The sequence below is a fragment of the Homo sapiens genome, chromosome 8 (genome assembly GCF_000001405.40).
Source record: "Homo sapiens chromosome 8, GRCh38.p14 Primary Assembly".
NCBI classification, from domain to species: Eukaryota; Metazoa; Chordata; class Mammalia; order Primates; family Hominidae; genus Homo; species Homo sapiens.
In genome coordinates, this window is record NC_000008.11 from 36,810,653 (window position 1) to 36,830,190 (window position 19,538).

The following is a 19,538-nucleotide window of genomic DNA, read 5'->3' on the forward strand; positions in this document are numbered from 1 at the left end:
CAGCTAAATGATGATATCATTCAAAGACGAGTATTAACTAGAAAGGAATCAATATGGCACCTGTGCCTAAATTCTGCTAAAAATAACAAGAAGGTGTGTTGGAAAGCAGAGAAACATTAGCATTATAGAAGTTACAAAATAAAACAGTTATGAGAGCAACAATTAAGATAATTTGCCCAAGGGAACAAAGGAAAAGTTAAGAAAAAATGTCCTTTATATTTAAAAAATAAAAATAAGATTTTAGAAAAACTGGAAATGATCCTTCATAGAATATTTATACGGTTTGAACCAAGGGATTATTAAACAATAGAAGTAATTGAAAGTGGGCCAAAAGATATCAGAGAAAAATAAGAAGAAGTGTATTACAGACCTGAAAACCAAATTAGAGGGAAGCAAAATGTAACAAATTTGACAAAATCACATTCAGAAACATGGTGGACAGGACTGGAGCAAAAATCTTGACATGGAAAATAAAGATACTCAAATGTTTGTAAAGAAGAAACATGAAAGGACAATATTGATTCAACCTACTGTAAATATCATTAGGGTATTACAGAAAATAGCACAATAAATGGCACCAGAAAGATGTTTTAAAACAAGGTGTTGAACCTGTAGATTAAAGGATAGACTGTATTCCATGAAACATAATTCAAAATTATTAATTCTAATCATATATTGGAGCAGTTACGGACGTCCTGGGATAAAAAAGATAATCCAAGCAGAACAAAACAGGGTCTATACAGGGGGGAACCAATGAGACTAGCTTCAAGTTTCTTGACAACATTGGTCAATACCAGAAGATGATACAGCAGTGTCCATAAAGTTTGCATAAAAGAAAGTGTAACCTGTCCTGTCATTTTAAGCATGCAAGGGGAAATGCACCAGTGAGCTTCTTTTGAATCTGTATTAATAGCTTAATGATAAAATTCAGCCACACAGGAGATTAATGTAAAGAGAATTCAAGAATGGGGAAGCCATGGTAAGAAGTAGTGGTAGTGGCTGGGCACGGTGGCTCACGCTTTTAATCTCAGCACTTTGGGAGGCCAGGGGAGGCACATCATTGGAGGTCAGGGGTTCGAGACCAGCCTGGCCAACATGGCGAAACCTCATCTCTACTAAAAATAGAAAAATTAGTCGAGCATGATGGCAGGTGCCTATAAACCCAGCTACTTGGGAGGCTGAGCCAGGTGCATCACTGGAGGGCAGGAGTTCGAGACCAGCCTGGCTAATGAAACCTCATCTCTACTAAAAATATAAAAAAATTAGCTGGGCATGGTGGCATGCACCTGTAATCCCAGCTACTCTAGAGGCTGAGGCAGGAGAATCACTTGAATCCGAGAGGCAGAGGTTGCAGTGAGCTGAGATCATGTCACTGCACTCCAGCCTGGGTGACAGAGTGAGAATCCATCTCAAAAAACAAACAACAAAAAAACTCTGATATTTTGGTCAGGCCCCTTGGCTCATGCCTGTAATCCCAGCACTTTGGGAGGCCAAGGAGGGGCGGATCTCCCGAGGTTGGGAGTTCGAGACCAGCCTAGCCGACATGGGGAAAACCTGTCTCTACTAAAAATAGAAAAATTAGTCAGGTGTGGTGGCAGGCACCTGCAATCCCAGCTACTCAGGAGGCTGAGGCAAGAGAATTGCTTGAGCCCAGGAGGTGGAGGTTGCAGTGGGCTGAGATCATACCACTGCACTCCAGCCTGAGTGACAGAGCAAGACTCCTCTCAAAAAAAAAAAAAAAAAAAGTAGTGGTAATGATTACTGAATGGATAAAAAATAGAGCTAAGACATAACCAAGGTAATTATCACTACAGACTAGAATGTAGATGCACAAATAAAAGTAATATAGCTAATATAAATGTTGATGGACAGGTAAGGGGAGAAGATAGAGTGTCCTCATATTTTTCTTCTTAGTGTATCTTATCTAAAGTTGAAACAAAGTTTAAAATAATAAGAATTCAGTTTTGAAATATGGAGTTAAAATAGATAATGATTCAGTCTGTTAACATTAGTCCATAATACTTTACCTTAACTATATTTCCCACCTTGGACTGATGGGTCAATGTAACATGGTTAAGAGGAAGAACAGTGTGAATAAGTGGACCCACAGAAGGCTGCCATCTCCCTTCCTCCATAAACTAAAGAGATACTGAGAAAGTGGAAAGGGATTTGAAACACCAAATTATTACTCATAAGGGCAGTGAGTTAAATTTTAAAGCGTTCTTTAAAAAATTATAAAGGATATCTCCAGTTTAAAATAAATTTAGTTTTACTTTGTACATGTTGTGCAGGGATAATATTGAATCCCTGTACTACAACATTGTAAAAGACACTATGGGATTTTAGCTTAAAGGGAACCGTGCCAGTAAATATGAATGATTTAAATCTGTGTGACTTAAATTTGGTTTTCTTGTAATGTATGTCTTGGAAAACAGTGAAGACTCCAGAAGTCAGTGACTTTGCAACAGTATCCGCTATCAGCCATAAGACTTAAGAACAGACATATAATCCCATTCTTACTTTGGAGTGGAGTATTATAGGGGTCCACACTCTTAACCTATTCATTAAATTTAAGAAAGGATCAGCACTTGGCACATCACTTTTAAAAAGGGAACAAATATCTGAGCAAACTGCATGGTTTCTAATTTCCATCCTAGTTCTTAAAAACAAAACAAAAAGCCCACTTCCCCCAGTCAGACATCTCTAAGATTTTATCATCTTTTGTGCTAAATAGAAATGGAAAACATCTAGAAAATATGTGAGCTGAGGAGAAAAAAAGGTCTAAAAGAAAAAACAAAGAAATAAATATTTTATTATAAACTATACATGTATAAATGTATGTTATATATAATATATTATGTTACACAATATTTTACATATATTTATAAAAAATTTATATATGATATAAATGTCTAAGTTACCTCATTTATCTAATATTAAAAATCTGATAAATCTAGTTTTCTTGAAAGGTGAAGACTCAAAGAAAAAATCAGAGGAAAATATTTTTAAAGGTTTTTTTAAAAAAAAAATCACTGAAAAGACGATTGTGCAAAGAGGAAAATAACTTGGAAAATTGGTTTGTTTTTCTGTAGACACTAGCATTCTATGTGCTTAAGCTCACTGAAATGAAGTGCTCATTTAAGTGCTTCTTTCCTTAATGATAATCCTAATCTAGTTAAAAAGTGAGAATATGTCATAATTGCTCAGTCTGAGGCCTTTGGAGTACCCTGGCTCCAGGATGCAATGCTTGTGCCCACTTGAAAAGAGAGCCCAGAGGCATCTGTCCCCGGTGGAGCTTTTCAAATGCTGTGCTGCAGCTACAAGCCCCCTCAGATTTCGGCAATGATCACGATTAAGGAAACCAAGACTTTACACTCACTACCCATGATTTACAAACTCTTCCATTTATGTAAACTCTTCATAGCAACCTGAAAGCCATTTGGTATTTCATTTGGATTGAATGAAGTGCAATTAATCTAATGTTTTGCCTATTCTTTAAAAATCTTCTCTTGGATTCTATTCAGATGTTTCCTGAGTCTTCTCTCTTTGGACAGGTGGAAAATTCTGGTGATCCCTGGCTCAAAGGTAGAAATTCACAGAATATATCATATTTTGAGTCAATTTACCTGGTCATGGCAACAACGTCAACCGTTGGATTTGGAGATGTGGTAGCCAAGACATCCTTAGGACGGACCTTCATCATGTTCTTCACACTGGGGAGTTTGGTGAAGAATATTTTTAATATATTTTGAATATAGCTACATAAACCAGAAATATTTGGTTAATGGTAATCAATGAAACAATATAGGTTTAAGAGTGAATGTTGCATTACTTGGGGCACATGTCAAGGGCAAATGAAAACATGCACAGATCCCATGTTTTCCAAACTGCATCCCCTGGAGCTCAGGATAAAATTGCTTGGTTTCCAGGGATGAAGGATAGTAGGCAAAGGAAGCAGACTTTCCTTATTAAGCTCTACATTGATTTGAGAAAACCTATCTTCCTTCATAGTTTGCCCATCAACTTAAAGTCTTTCTTCTAAAGAGGAAGGATATTTGAGATTTGATCTGAAGAAAATTCCATTCCTCCCAGCTCAAATGAGTAACCTTTCACTAAAACAGCATTTAACTTTAGAGATATGAACATCTGTGCCTGGCTTACGAATGTAGCAAAGGCAAAAGCCTTCTTTTCTTTTAGTGACTTTCATTTCAATTCCTTAAAAACCACAACAGAGTTCTCCACTCCACTTTTTTGATATCTACCCATCCACGGTCTCACATCCCTTTTTTTCAGTCATTGTCTCTTAACCCTCCTCTGTCCCATATGCTTTCATTTTTCCAAGCCCCAAATAGAATAAAGTCAGAGTGAGACGGGAAGTTAGAAGCGATAAAAAGAGGGCCAGGCACAGTTGCTCAGGCCTGCAATCCCAGCATTTTGTGAGGCCAAGGCAGGCGGATTACCTGAGGTCAGGAGTTCGAGACCAGCCTGGCCAACATGGAGGCATTCCATCTCTACTAAAAATATAAAAATCAGTCAGGCATGGTGGCAGGCACCTGTAGTCCCAGCCACTTGGGAGGCTGAGGCAGGAGAATCCCTTGAACCTGGAGGCAGAGGTTGCACCCCAGCCCGGGAGACAGACAGAGACTCTGTCTCAAAAACAAAAACAAAAACAAAAGTGATGAAAGGATAAGACATGTGGGGAAATCACCTTGCTGCTGTCCTTTGCTTTCATCATTTTGAATACAGAAAAGCCTTATATTAAATTTTAACAAAATTCAAAGGCTGAAATAAGGAAGAAAAACGAGGTCCCTTTAACATGCTATCATGTGCTCTTAGATGACAGAAAGTTTTATGTACCCTCCTTTTCCTTTCTAATCTTGAAATTTTTGGAGTATCCATCAAAATAATGAGAACTAAGGTTTTATTTTGCTGATCAATTTTAGATATTATTTGCGAACTATATACCTGAAATGGTGGAACTGTTTGCTAACAAGAGGAAATACACCAGTTCCTATGAAGCACTCAAAGGAAAGAAGTAAGTAGTGTTTTAAGTATAATTTCTACAGTTTAAGAAATTCTATTAGCCATATATCTCGTTCTAGACATCTATTGTCTGGCTTAGCTGTAGAACCCAAGGTGAATATATCAGCAACATCCCGTATTCACTAAAAAGGACTGTGCTAAACTAAATACCGTAAGAAAATGATATTTGCTACTTGACCCAAACCACTACATAGATGCTCATAAGAAAACTAAATCAACTAAAATGACAGATAATGTTGTAATTCACTGTCAATAAATATTACTGATTATGGCACTATTTGTACATTCCTTTCCACTAACTTCTCCTATAGCCATTACCAATTGTCTTACTCATTTTCCTTGTATGGGTAACTTATGGCTAACTTTACATAATGGATCGGATTAAAGCCATGATTCCAATTTAAAATAATTTAGTTCAGTTGTCTTAGCCAAAGCTCCCCTAAACCATCGGGGGCTCATTTACGGATGAGGATTTGCCAGCATGAGAAGTTTCTACCCTGTCTTCTATAGCGCCTCCTAGATGACTGATTTTTTTTCCTTGCCACAGCCATGTGTTCCCAGGAGGAAAATGGAGTGGAGTTGTTTTTATATTATTTCTTCTTGGATTCATGTTACCTTAGCTTCCATTAGGTTTTTTTTTCCCATCTAAGACAAAAAGAATGAAATGGAGATCTTAAATTAGATGTGATCCTTTTAAAAACTTAATCCCTGTCTGCTGTAATGAAAGAGGCATAATGGAGATAGGCTCCCTGAAAGCAGTCTCTTAATACAGTTGGATGAAAACTTTAATTGACCTGGGACTATGAAGAGGAAAGGAAAAATATGATGAAATGAACAAAAGATAAATAATGAGAAGCAGTGAATTTAACTAGATAAGCCAAAATCTGGCCTCATTTGTCTCAGGAAAGGCCTATGGGGCACATACTAAATCAGTCAATAGGTCTGGGAACTTTAATGTTAACTTAGGCTAAAATTATGTTTTCAGTTTTCTTCAATGGCTAATAGGAGGAAAATAGCTCCTTTAAATGCGTTAAACGTAAGAAAATTTTTCATGACAAAAACTATATGCATAGAGTTCTGCACCTGTCTTCAATGTCCCTCCACTGGGCTCATGTTTTTGTAACTACTAGATATTCGTAAATGTGGAAGATAAGCTGAAACAATCTGGAATGTGGTGCTTTCTCAGCCATGATATTTGGGTGAGAAATGGAAAAATTGATGAACTTTTCTGCTCCTCAAGAAAAAAACAAACAACAACAACAACAACAACAAAAAACCCTCTCTCAGACAACTAGGAATTAAGTGAAAAAATAAGTTAAAAATCTATTATAAGTTATAAATAAATGTGAAAAATCTAGCAATAGTAATAGTTGCTCTTGTACTCTTAAAAAGCTGGGTGCAATTTAAATGTTTGGCTTCATATTCTACTTGAGATGAGATAGAAGACTGTGGATATCTGATGCTTCTTTTGTATTAGAAATGCAGTCCTTAGTGTTTCAATGTTTAAAATCTGGGTGATGCAGGCCAGGCACAGTGGCTCGTGCCTGTAATCCCAGCATTTTGGGAGGCTGAGGTGGGCGGATCACCTGAGGTCGGGAGTTCAAGACCAGCCTGACCAACATGGAGAAATCCCATCTACTAAAAAAATACAAAATTAGCTGGGCGTGGTGGCGCATGCCTTTAATCCCAGCTACTTGGGAGGCTGAGGCAGGAGAATCATTTAAACCCAGGAGGCAGATGTTGCAGTGAGCTGAGATCACACCATTGCACTCCAGCCTGGGCAGCAAGAGCAAAACTCCATCTCAAAAAAAAAAAAAAAAAAAAAAAAAATCTGGGTGATGCAAATACCATATTTATTGGAAACTAAGTTTAAGCCAATTATTTATCTCTAAATGCTGACAGGAAGGTGCTTATGTGCCTCGGATGATCCACCTCACCTGTTTTTGCTGCCTAGGTTTATTGTGGTCTGTGGAAACATCACTGTGGACAGTGTGACCGCTTTCCTGAGGAATTTCCTCCGCGACAAGTCAGGAGAGATCAACACTGAAATTGTTTTCCTGGGAGAGTAAGTATATCTGTATGGCTCATGGGTTCTAAATTAATACTTAAAATACGTGTGAATATTTTTAATGCAAGAAAATTACCTTCACAATATTTATAGAAAAAGTAGGTATTGATCATAAACAAAACAAAAAAGAAAAGAAATCTTTGACCAAGCTAATCTCTGCAAATATTTTGGAATATATCTTGTCAGATGTTTTTCTGCATAGGTACTAATATGATTTAAGTGATTATCATTTGGCATTTAGGTTACTCTACACGTTATTATCATACATGACTATAATCTTATGCAAAAGCCTGGTGCACTTTATAATTATTATTCTGTTAATTCTCAGAATTAGAAATGTGAAGTTCAAATCAATACAGAAATGATTGTTCTTGATGCTGTTGTTGTTCTGTGCAGTCTATCTTTCCACTAGCAGAGCCTAAGTCAAATATTTTGTCAAGCACTAGGAAATACATATTTAGTACAGAAGGATTTTAAGTATAGCTTAGGTACACAAAATGATTTCTTATATTTTAATTTTGTAATTTTCAATTTGGTAAGATTGACTAATTTTCTATGTTTTGACTGTTGGCTTTTCTCTTTGAAATTTCTCTTTCTTTCTTTCTTTCATCCTCTCCTATTAAGTGGATTACCTGTTGCTTTATTGACTTTTCTACTCAATATATGTTGTTACTAGCCATTTCCTGTTATATGTTATACATGTTTTTCTTCCAACTTCACCTTTTAATTTTTTTCGTGCTTTTATTTTCATACAGAAGTGTTTGATTTGCATGCACTCCAGTCAGCTCATTCTTTTAGTGTTTAAGATCCATGGAATTGCTTTTGCCTGATGTGTAGAGAATTAACTTCTTTACTTTTCTCAAATGATTCATCGGTTACCCAAATATCATTCACTAAATAAGTCAGCCAGATTTTGAAATGACATTTTGATCTTACGTAGGATTGTATGTAGCATCGCCTCCATCTTCTGGCACTGTGTAGTTGAGCACTCTACTTTTGCATTATGACATGTTCAATTCACCATAAATTTGGGCCCTCATGTATGGAATAACCGATAGCAGTTTGAAGCACTCTATGATGTTACTGACAGCCAAGAATTCCGTTTAAGTAGCATCAGTGTGTCCATCTTTCTAGCAATCTGTGCACTATTTAAATCTTTTGTTAGAAAACAGTAAAAACAAAGAGTACTAAAACTAGGGATTAAAAGCTAATTATTATAATCCAATTGAGACAGAGAGGAAATCAATAGATGTGTGACGTGTTTTACCACTGTTGCACTTTTATGATCTAACATGCGTTGTTGTATGTACTTGCCAAGATAATGAACAAATTTTTTTTAATGGTGAAAAATGTGGAAAGTATCTATCTAAAATTTTGTTACTTTCATCTATACTCCGATGCCTGCAAAAATTTACATCTTCTCTTAGACATTCTCTGTGGCTTCATATTTACACAACTAATTGCCTCCTGGATATTTTTAACCTAGTGTTATGAAGGCCCCTCAAGCTCAACATTCTCAAAAGTGAACTCATGATCTTGTGTTCCCCTTCTCAACTCAAAGGCAAACAAACAAAAATCAAAGAAGGAAAGCAAGCAACATTTTCTATCCTAGTAAATGAGACCTCATTAATATACTTCCTTAAAACAGAAAACTGAGTATTATCTCTGATACTCCTGTCCCCCTCAATCCTTATATACATTTTCATCAATACCATTAATTTTGTCCCATATGTAAATCCTAATTCTGTTTCTACCATTTATTCTCCACTATCACAACTCTATTCATAGTTAAATCTTGTCTTCCCAAAATTTCTCTCAAGGCCACTTTATTTGTTTGTTCTTTGTGCTCCAAAGCTCTTCTTCTCCCTTTATGTGACCAATTTATTCCCATCCTTCCCACTCAGAGAGACAGTCCCTGTCCATTCTATCTAAATTGGTGTCCTCTAATTTCCTTCTATCTCATTACTCTATTTTATTTCCTTTAAAGCAATTATCACAATCTATAATTGTGGTGGTAGAGTTTCCTTTAACACAGCTGTTAACATTTCTTTCTTTTGCTATATACTCCTGCCCCTTCTCCCATTTAAATGTGAATTCTCTTTCTTCTCCCTTTGAATCTGGGCTGACCTGTGGCTTAATTTGATAAATAGAACACAGAAGATGTGACACTTTGCTACTTCAGGCCTAGCGTTTAGGAGGATTGACAGTTCCAGCTTCCACTTAGAGCCCTGAGTCATCATGTAAAAAGCCATACTACCTTGCTGGAGAGAAGGCCCAGTCAGCTGTCAGCTACTCTAGTCACATAGCTGAAGCAACAGTCATGTGTATAGCCACTTTGGACATTCCAGCTCCTTGTGAAGCTCCTGGATGAATGTACCTACGTGGATGCCCCTAGTCAACAATACATGGAACGGAAGAACAACCTGGCTGAGACCAGCCAACCTACAAAATCATGAACATAGTATATTATTGTTGCTTAAGGTCTATAATTTCTAGGATGGTTTGTTTTGCAGAAATAGATAATTGATACAACAAGTGGTACTCGAAGGGTGCTAGCATACCAAGAGCCAAAATGTGGCCTTTTCCTTGGAACTGGTGGAGACAGAGGCCAGAAGAGTTGCATGGAGACTCAGTAAAGGCTGGAAGAGCAATGAGGAAATTGCTGTAGGGTGATGGAGGAAGAACAGCCCATGCATGGTTTTATGGCAGAATTTTAGTAACACTGTCACCAGCAATAATATGGAAGACAGGAAATGTACCTAATGAAATTGTGAAGCTAAGAAGATTTCCCAAAAGAAAGTCATTTACTCTAGTTTAATCATGCATGCTAAGGTATTATAAGAAAATTCAGAAAAAAAAAAAAAGAAATTCTTTAGTTTTCGAGCAGAACTTAGAAGCAATACAGAAGGCCAAGAACAATCTCTCCAGATGGTCAAAAAAAGGAAGAATGACCTCAGAGAGAAAAAAAAAATCAAATTTAGGGTGCAATCTATAACATTTGACTTCAAGGTCAAAATTGAATCAAGGATGCAACTGTAAGATCATTTGTTAAGACCTCAGAAAGATTTAAGGTGGTGACTAACAGAGGCTCTCAGTCAGGCAAAGGGGCTGCAAAGAAGCTTACAGACATTCTTCTCGGAAGCCTGACATTGTCAAAGTGGAGAGAGATCTGTCTGCAAGGAATCATGGATCTGACTTTTAAAGCATGACATGAACCTGAATTAGGTTTATAGAAAATACTCAACAGAATTCTGCTTCAAACAGAATTTTTCTGATAGCAGCCCTACCAACTTGAAGTAGAAGGGAAAGAAAGAGTTGAAAATGAAAAAAAGAAATGCTTCTGAGCCCAATTTAGCACACACAAGAATCAGGCAGAGAAAGCTACTGAAGTATAAACATAGACCTTTTGTTAAAGAAAGGGAAGCATGATGACTCAGGATCAGAGGACAGAGAAAAGAATTACGGACAGTAGATTAACTCGTGAGCACAGAACTGGGCCATAATTGAGAAACATTCTCTACCCCTAATAACACATGCTCAGATTTCAGAATTTCTGTAGACCCGTGATTTCTCAGTGCCCTCCGTTACAACCCCTACCACTTTTGATGGGGCTTGCCTGTTGCAATTTTCCTATCCCTGTTGGTGTCATCATGGTAAGCTGGCTGTTGGAGTTGGGGTATTCACTTCTCCATTCAGTTCACAGGTGTTCACATCAGGACTAGATGTATTTAGGAGCCCCCATCCAGGTCTAGGCCTAATTTAGATGACAAGATCCAGGACTTTGAGCTGATTCTATAAAGAGATGAGACTTTGGGAGGAAATGTGAGAGTATTTTGTACAAGGGAGGGATGTGGATTCTTGTGGCCAGGATGCAGACTGTGGTAGTTTAATGATGGCTAATAGCAATTCCTCTTTATACATACAGATGGTCCCTGGTTTATGATGCTTTGACTTAAAACAATTTTTTTTTACTTTATGATGGTGCAAAAGTCATATGCCTTCAGTAGAAACCATATTTTGTATACTCACTTTCAGTGCAGTATTCAGTAAATAATATGAGATACTCAACACTATTATAAATAGGCTTTGTGTTAGATATTTGACCAAATGTAGGCTAATGTGAGTGTTCTGAGCATCTTTGAGGTAGGCCAGGCTAAGCAACGATGTTTGACAGGTTAGCTGTATTCAAAGCATTTTCAACTTACCACGTTTTCAACTTATGATGGGTTTATAGGGATGTAGCCCCATCATAAGTTCAGGAGTGTCTGTATTCTGCTCCTCCTACCAAAAGTGGAGTCCATTTTCCCTTCTATTGAATCTGGGCTAGCCTTTTGACTCATTTTAACCAAGAAGATATCAACAAGTGACAGTATGCCGGTTATGCCAGCCCTTAAGACTCCTGACAGCATCTGCTTTAGTATCTTGGAGCCTTGAAATATAACTATAAAAAATAAATACACACACATCTATGTATGTATATATGTATCAAACATATATACATACGTATGTATGTATGTTGGAGAATAAGGCCTATCCCACTGCCAGTCTTTCCAGCTAGCTCAGTCGAGGCAGCACACATGTAAATGATGCCATCTTGGATGTTCTAGACCACTAAAGCTCTCAGCCAAAGTCAGTCCTATAAAGGACTCTAACAAAACCACAGGGAACAGAAGTATCACCCAGCTGAGCCCAGTCAAAACAAGGAATACAAAAAATAATAACTTGTTATTTAAGCTACAAGGTTCTTGTAAGATTCTATACAAAAATACATAAATGATACAGTATTACCATTTTCTTTCTTTGGTTACTTGTTTATTGCTTGAACAAAGCAGTATCTAACATATTACTCTATGAAATGTTATGAAAATAAAATATTAACTTATATTTCCATAAGTCAGACTGCTTAGTTGCATGCAAGAAAAACTATGACTAAATTAAGCAGAAAAGAATACACAAATAGATATTACACAGCTCTTAAAACCACCAAAAGCCAGATAACTAGGCTTAGAGACTACACAGCAAGGAGCAGTGATATTGTGATACCTCTTTCCTTGAGTAATTTGTTTTATGAGTGGGCGCATAAAGGTCAACTTCCTTGTCATTCTTTATGCTGACTGCATGTGTCTTATACATTTTGTATATGTACTATTTTTTACAATAAAATTTAAAAGGTGAGAACTTTCTAGGTTTGACAGAAGAAATCAGTTCTCAGATGAGAAGGTACAATAAATCATGTATACTTCCATGTACTTGAAATGTGAAAATCAAAACATAGGGATAAAGAGAGGCATGCATGTGAGTGTTGTCATAACAGAGGGGGCAGCTAATTCAGCAATTGTTAGGGGATGGGGCAGATCAGAATACGCATTCAGAAGAAAGTACCATTCAAGAAAGTATTAGATTGGTGCAAAAGTAATTGTGGTTTTGCCATTAAAAGTAATGCCAAACAGTACATGACCATAAGTTACACATCAAAAGTAAAATACTTACCATGAAGTATTTATCTCTCCTTCCCTTTCCCCAGTCCTACTGCTCAGAGACAACTGCTTTCAGTTCTTTCAGACTTAATATTTCTTCAAATTTTAAGTCTAAATTTTACCACTTTTTGATTCCTCAGTTATAGATGGTATTTATTAACCATCAGATTTGCAAATGAGAATTGTTCAACACTCTGCATCACTTCTATTGTTTCGGTATTATGATCTTAAATCTGTAGTTACACAATTAGTGTTTATATCATTGCGGCAAATAAATATTGTTCATTGTAGATTCAAGTAAAAGTGTATAAGGATAACAGTATATTTCCTCAAAATTTTATTTTCAATCCTCAGTGATTGTTTCATTTTATGTTTATCATATATATTATATCATATAGTATATATAATAGAGGTACCATATGAATGCCAATAAATATTTTCCAATTTCTCCAATATGTAATAATACAATAGGAACAAAAGTTGAGTGAGAAATTTCTAAGAGTTGCAAATGGGTCATTGGACTATAGAAAAAATATGCCAGAATGTTTATTCACGTCTAAAATAGCAAGGAAATAATTAATCTCCTTGTTCAAACCTTTTTTTTTTTTTTTTTTGAGAAGGAGTTTTGCTCTTATTGCCCAGGCTGTAGTGCAATGGTGCGATCTCAGTTCACTGCAACCTCCGCCTCCCAGATTCAAGTGATTCTCCTGCCTCAGCCTCCCAAGTAGCTGGGATTACAGGCATGCACCACCACACCCAACTAATTTTGTATTTTTAGTACAGATAGAATATCACCATGTTGGCCGGGCTGGTCTTGAACTCCTGACCTCAGGTGATCCACCCGCCTCTACCTCCCAAAGTACTGGGATTGCAAGCGTGAGCCACCACACCCGGCCCCTGTTTAAGCCTTTTTTATTCCAAAATATAATTCAAAAAATCACTTAGAATTAAAGTGATTATAAAGTGAACATCCATATAACTACCACTCAAGTCAAGAAATAAAGTAGTGCCTCCTTATCTGCAGTTTTTCTTATCACAATTTCAGTTACATATGGTCAGTCGTGTTCTAAAACTTAGTGAGTACAGTACAATATGGTATTTTGAAAGGGAGACTGCTTACACGTACATTTTATTACAGCATATTGTTATAATTATTCTATTTCATTATTTGTTTTTATTGTTAATGCCTTATTGTACCTAATTTATAAATTAAATGTTATTATAGGCATGTATATATAGGAAAAATGGTACTGTATATATGGGGTTTGGTACTATCTGTGGTTTCAGGCATCCCCTGGGGGTCTTGGAATGTATCCCCTTTGGATAAGGATGGATTACTATATTCCATAGCTAGCACACCAACACAACCCTTTGCAGTTGAAGCTCCATCTTTAGTTCCTAGAAATAACTACAGTTCGGACATTATATCTTATTATTTTTTGTCTTATCTTCTATGTTTATTTAGAATATTATTTCCCTTTTCCTGTTTTTTTAAATGTGTATAAATGGAATATAAATTTATTTACCTCAATGTTATGTTTGTTATATTTATCCATATTGCAACTGGAAATAGTTGTATAATACTTATTGTTATTGCTGTGTAGACAATATTCTATGAATACACCACAATTTGTCTTAATTCATTCAGCCATTGGTGGCATTTCTCCCCTATACTTTGGCTATTATAAAGAATGGTGCTGTGCAAATTTTTGTATATGTATCTTGGTACCCAAAAATATAATTGTAAGGTAATAAAGTTTAAATATTTTTCTTAGGTAGAACTGTCAGTTGTCCGAAATGATATGAACAATCTGCACCTTACCAGTATCCCTGAGAGTTCCTGGTGCCCTACATCCTACTAACACTGGAAATGTAACTCGACAAACTAACACTTAGAAACAGCAGTCTTTTTAATCGTAGCCATTCTTGTGGGTAGTACTTTATTAAGATAGTGGTACTTCTTGTGGTTTTAATTAACATTTTCCTCATTACTAGTGAGGCCAAGCATCTTTTCAGATCCATAAGCCACCTGGACTCCCTCATATTAAATGATGATCCATTTGTCTTGACCATTTTTATGCTGAATCGTTAGACCTTTTTTATTTGCATAAGGTGATATGTGATTCGAGCCTTTGTCAGGTACATGCAGGATTAAGCTTATTTCATGTTATAAAATCTACCAACTTTAAGTTTTATGACAAATTTCATTAAATTTACCCTAACATTTAACCTTTTGTTCTATTTATCTCTTCTTGCACCTCTGCTCTTCCTTCCTATTATGATTTTCTTCATGCCAAAAAGTAGAAAAATTTTGGTATAAGTTTAAGGAGTAAAAGTGCAGTTTTGTTACATGGAAACATGGTGCAGTGGAGAAGTCTAGGCTTTTAGTGTAAGTGTCACCTGAATAATGTACATTGTACCCATTAAGTAATTTCTCATCTCCCAACCCCTAAAACTTTTAAATTTTCCTTAAATGCAGAACTACCAGTGACTAACTCTGTTGGATGTTGTTTGTTTTTTTAAGTGTAAAGATGTCTTTTTTTTTTTCATTGAAGGACAATTTCACAGATACAGAGTTACAAGCTGGCAGTTTATTTACTTAAGAACCATGAAATTTTATTCCACTTACTTCTGACTTCTGTTGTTGCTATGAAGAAGTCTGTTGAATTACCTTGTTGAAAGAGCTATCTTTTTCAAAGGTCATACATTTTACTTAATATGGTTGTATGTTATAATTTTCCTATGATGTGTATAGGTTTGAATTTCTATTAATTTACCTCTGGATTGGTGTCTTTGATCATTTCTGGAGGATTCTCAGTTATTATAATTATTTCTTCAAATGTTGCTTGTCACCTTTTTGTTTCTCCTTTTCTTCCGGGATTCTAATTACAGGTTAACTCTGCTAGCCTTTTTCTTTTTTATTGTTCCAGTTATATGTCCTGATTTTTTTTATTTTTTATTATTTATTTTATTTTATTTTATTTTTTGAGACAGGGTCTTGCTCTGTCACCCAGGCTGGAGCGCAGTGGCCTGATCTTGGCTCACTGCAACCTCTGCCTCCCGGGTTCAAGTGATTCTCCTGCCTCAGCCTCCCAAGTAGCTGGAATTATAAGTGCCCACCACCACGCCTGGCTAATTTTTGTATTGTTAGTAGAGATGGGGTTTCACCATGTTGGCCAGGCTGGTCTCCAACTCCTGACCTCAAGTAATCTGCCCACCTTGGCCTCCCAAAGTGCTGGGATTACAGGTGTGAGCCACTGCGCTAGGCCGTATGAACTGAATTTCTTACCCTCTCTTTTGAACTTCTCTCTTCCCTTTTTATATCTCTGTGTTGCATTCTGGATAATTTGTTTTGACCTAGATTCCAGAACCTTAGCTCTTTTTATGTGTTTAATCTACTTATAAACCCATCCATTAAGTTTTCAGTTTCAGTTATTATATTATTCAGTTCTAGAATTTACATTTGATTCTTTTTTTTAAAAAAAGTAACTTTTATTTTCATTTCAGGGGTACCTGTTCAGGTTTGTTATATAGGTAAACTTGTGTCATGAGGGTTTGTTGTACAGATGATTTCATCACCCAGGTATTAACCCCAGTACCCATTAGTTATTTTTGATTCTTTATCAAACTGTCCTGTTTTTATTTTTATTTTTTGCATTTTTACCTTACCTTTTGTGTATTTCAACAAAATACGCATAAATATACTGTAGCTAGTTTTCAATAACTGAATGCCTCACGTCTTTGATTTTACTGGCTGTGGCTTCTGCTAGATGTTACATACACTGTCTTGTTTTCTTTCTTTCTTGTGTGTGTGCCTATTGTCTTACATTATGCACTGATTCCTGTTTTGCACAACTATACATGGAAACACTGTTAACTTAGACAGATGATGTTACCTTCTTCCAGAGAGTGTATTTCTTTACTTCTTTGAAACACAACAGGGCACTTCTGCCTCAGGACCATCTAATCCAAGCTCAATGCTTGAAACTCTCTGTACTTCCCAGGTGACAAACTCAGGATGACAGCCGAATTATAAGCTAGTTTATTCAATTTTACCCTTCTTCTTTGCTTCTATGCTTTTGTTATGCCAGTTTATATTTTGGAAAAGATATCAAACCCTTCATTTTGTATGTCAGGGGAACTGCACTTTTTTGTCCTTTGACTTGTGTGACCACGAAATGTTATCTCAGATTGGTAGCTGCTTCTTCTGAATTGTAAAATGCGTTCAGGGGAAGAAAATTGGACTCAACTCCCGAGTTATTGATTTCTCTCAGGTTTTGGCCTGATAACTCTTCATTGTCTGCTTATATAATTGATGACTTCTTAGGAGACATGTTTAATATTTCATCCAGCTTTTTTATATATCTTCAGGAGGGAGTTGGCTGAAGTTACCTAATTTATTATTCTTGAAAGTAGAAGCTCTCAGCTCTGTTAATATTGTATGTATGCAAACATAAACAGAGCTCTCACTTTTCCACATATGCTGATGGTCATGTATCACATACTGAATCCAAAGTGTTCTCAGGAAAAGGGGGAAGTTTCACTCATAAGGACTGATAATTTCAGAGTATTTGAAAATATTGTAATTGATAGTGGGAGTGAAAATAAAGGTGTATTGAGCCCATTGTACCATTGTAGAGACTTGGCTTTAAGGAAGATAATTTTCTCTGTGTCAGTTCTGATTGTTGGAGTACTTCGAGTAGAGGAAAGACATGATTCTTCATCAATTGTGAGAATTGCAAATTTCTTCTTCAGGTTTGTAATTTGTCTTTTTACTGAATATTACATGTTTTTGATATTTAAAAGTTTTTAATATTATCACAGTCAAAGATTCAATATTTTCTATTATATTAAATCACTTCTTGTTTTTTGTTTAGAAAATCTTTCCCTACCCCAGTGTTTAAAACATGTTGAACTACATTTCCTACTAAGATTTAGTTTTCTTCTTTGAGTGTTAGAAAATCAGGATGAGATTTATTTTAATTCTTAGTCATAACATTCATAATTGGTTTACACATAAGCACATTTTGGTTATTTATGTTACTAGTTCTTTTTAATAATGTTGTAAGCACCAATGCATGAACTCACCACCAAGGTCAAATTTAGGACAATAATCTATATTTAACTGTATAATCCTCCCCATATTTCAACCTATGGTCAATTTTTTAAATATCACTACCATTCTTTCTTTCTCCTATGTTTTATTACCTCTATATTCACATCTAAAATGTGCATATTACTTTAGACATGTTTAACTTTATAGAAGGAATATCATACCAATGTAATCTTTGGGGCTTTATTCAGTTTATATTATGTTAGTAAGATGCTTTCATATTTTTGAATGTTGCTGTAGTTAATTGGTTGTTCTTGTTAGTGATATTCATTTCCCTCAGTTCCACTCTTCTTTTGGTGTGATTAGTGTTATTTCTATATTTTGCAATTGGAAATAGTTTTGTTGTTAACATGCTTGTATATGGCTCCTGGTGGACACATGAAATAGTGTTTCTGTGTGCATGTTTATGTGCATTTGTGCTTGTACGTGTGTGTGCTTAATAGTGTCAAGAATGTGAATGTTCATTTTTAGGCCATTAGTCATTTTTTCCAAGTCATTGCACCATTTGCAAGCCTATCAGGAATGTGTAAGAGACTTCACACATATATATACATACACATTCTTTCCAACAACTGGTATGGTTATATGTTTTAAGCTTTGCAATGAAATCAATGTCAAATGGAACCTTCTTGTGGTTTTGATTTCTATGCCCTTTAGCTCTACAGATGTGGACCTTCACCATGTTTACTAGGCACACATCTTTTCTCTTTCCGTGACATACTCATCCATGTGTTTTGCCTATTTATTTTTTTACTTAACTATTTTGTGTGATTTTTGTTATTTAATTTTAGGGATGTGTAATATATTATTTGCAATAATTCTTCATCAGTTGTGGGAACTGCAATTTCTTCTTTCAGTTTATAATTTGTCTTATTGCTGAATATTACATATCTTCTGATGCTTAAAAGTTTTTAATGTTATTATAGTCAAATATTGAATATTTTCTATTATATTAAAGCACTTATTGTTTTTTGTTTAGAAACTTTTTCCCTATTCCACTGTTTAAAATATGTTGAACTACATTTCCTACCAATAATTTTAAATTTTTTTCGTCATTTATGTCTCTAATTCATTTAGAATTTTTTGTAGAGTAACGATGGGGTTTATAGAGTGACAATTTGTATAATTTTCTATTACTGCATTAATACTACAGTCTTTTAATTACTAAATCTTTATAACTAGTTCTATCTATCCCTAGAGCAAGTCTTTTTACCTTTTATTTTTTTTTATAGTTGACAAGCTTTACTTGGCCCTTTATATTTTATATAAATTTTAAAATTATTTTATCATGTATATTATTTTATTATGAAAAACTGCAGAAATTTAATGCGAATCTAATTGAAAGTTTAGATGCAGCATTGACTGCTTTATGCTACAAACTCTTTCCAACTTTTACTATGCTGGGTTTATTCATTTATTTAGTTCTCCTTTAGTACCCCTGAATAATGTGGTATAATTTCCCAGGTAGAGAGCTTACTAACTTTTATTTCTAGGTACTTGGTATTTTCTGATATTAGTAAAAGTAATATCTTCCAGTAGGGTTTACTAGTTGTTTGTTCTTAGTACAGGAAAAACACAATTAAATTTTGTATATTAGTCTTATATCTAACCACATAAATTTTATTTTTTTCTGTAGTAATATTAGGGGTTTCCATATAAATAATTATATTTATATTATTTATATTTGTGTAGTTATAATTATTTACATTAAAACAATTTATCTTTATTTTATCTTTGTAATAAAATAAAATAAATCTTTATTAATCCAGATTTGTAAATCTTTATAAATAAAATAAATATTTATAATAAAACATAAATTGTACACATAAGGATTAGA

General features: G+C 35.2%; 1 protein-coding gene across 8 annotated transcripts in view; it reads left to right on the plus strand.

Annotated features, from left to right (window-relative positions):
• KCNU1 (potassium calcium-activated channel subfamily U member 1) overlaps positions 1-19,538 on the plus strand; it is a 151,752-nt gene that overhangs the window by 26,279 nt on the left and 105,935 nt on the right. For all 8 annotated transcript variants that reach the window (NR_134267.2, XR_001745486.3, NM_001031836.3 and 5 more), the window contains exons 8-10: positions 3,555-3,725; positions 4,944-5,035; positions 6,998-7,108. Coding sequence is in view for 6 of the 8 variants with exons in the window: in NM_001031836.3 (NP_001027006.2) it covers positions 3,555-3,725; positions 4,944-5,035; positions 6,998-7,108 (374 nt within the window). In the remaining 2 variants the exon portion in view is untranslated. The remainder of the gene's footprint in view (positions 1-3,554; positions 3,726-4,943; positions 5,036-6,997; positions 7,109-19,538) is intronic.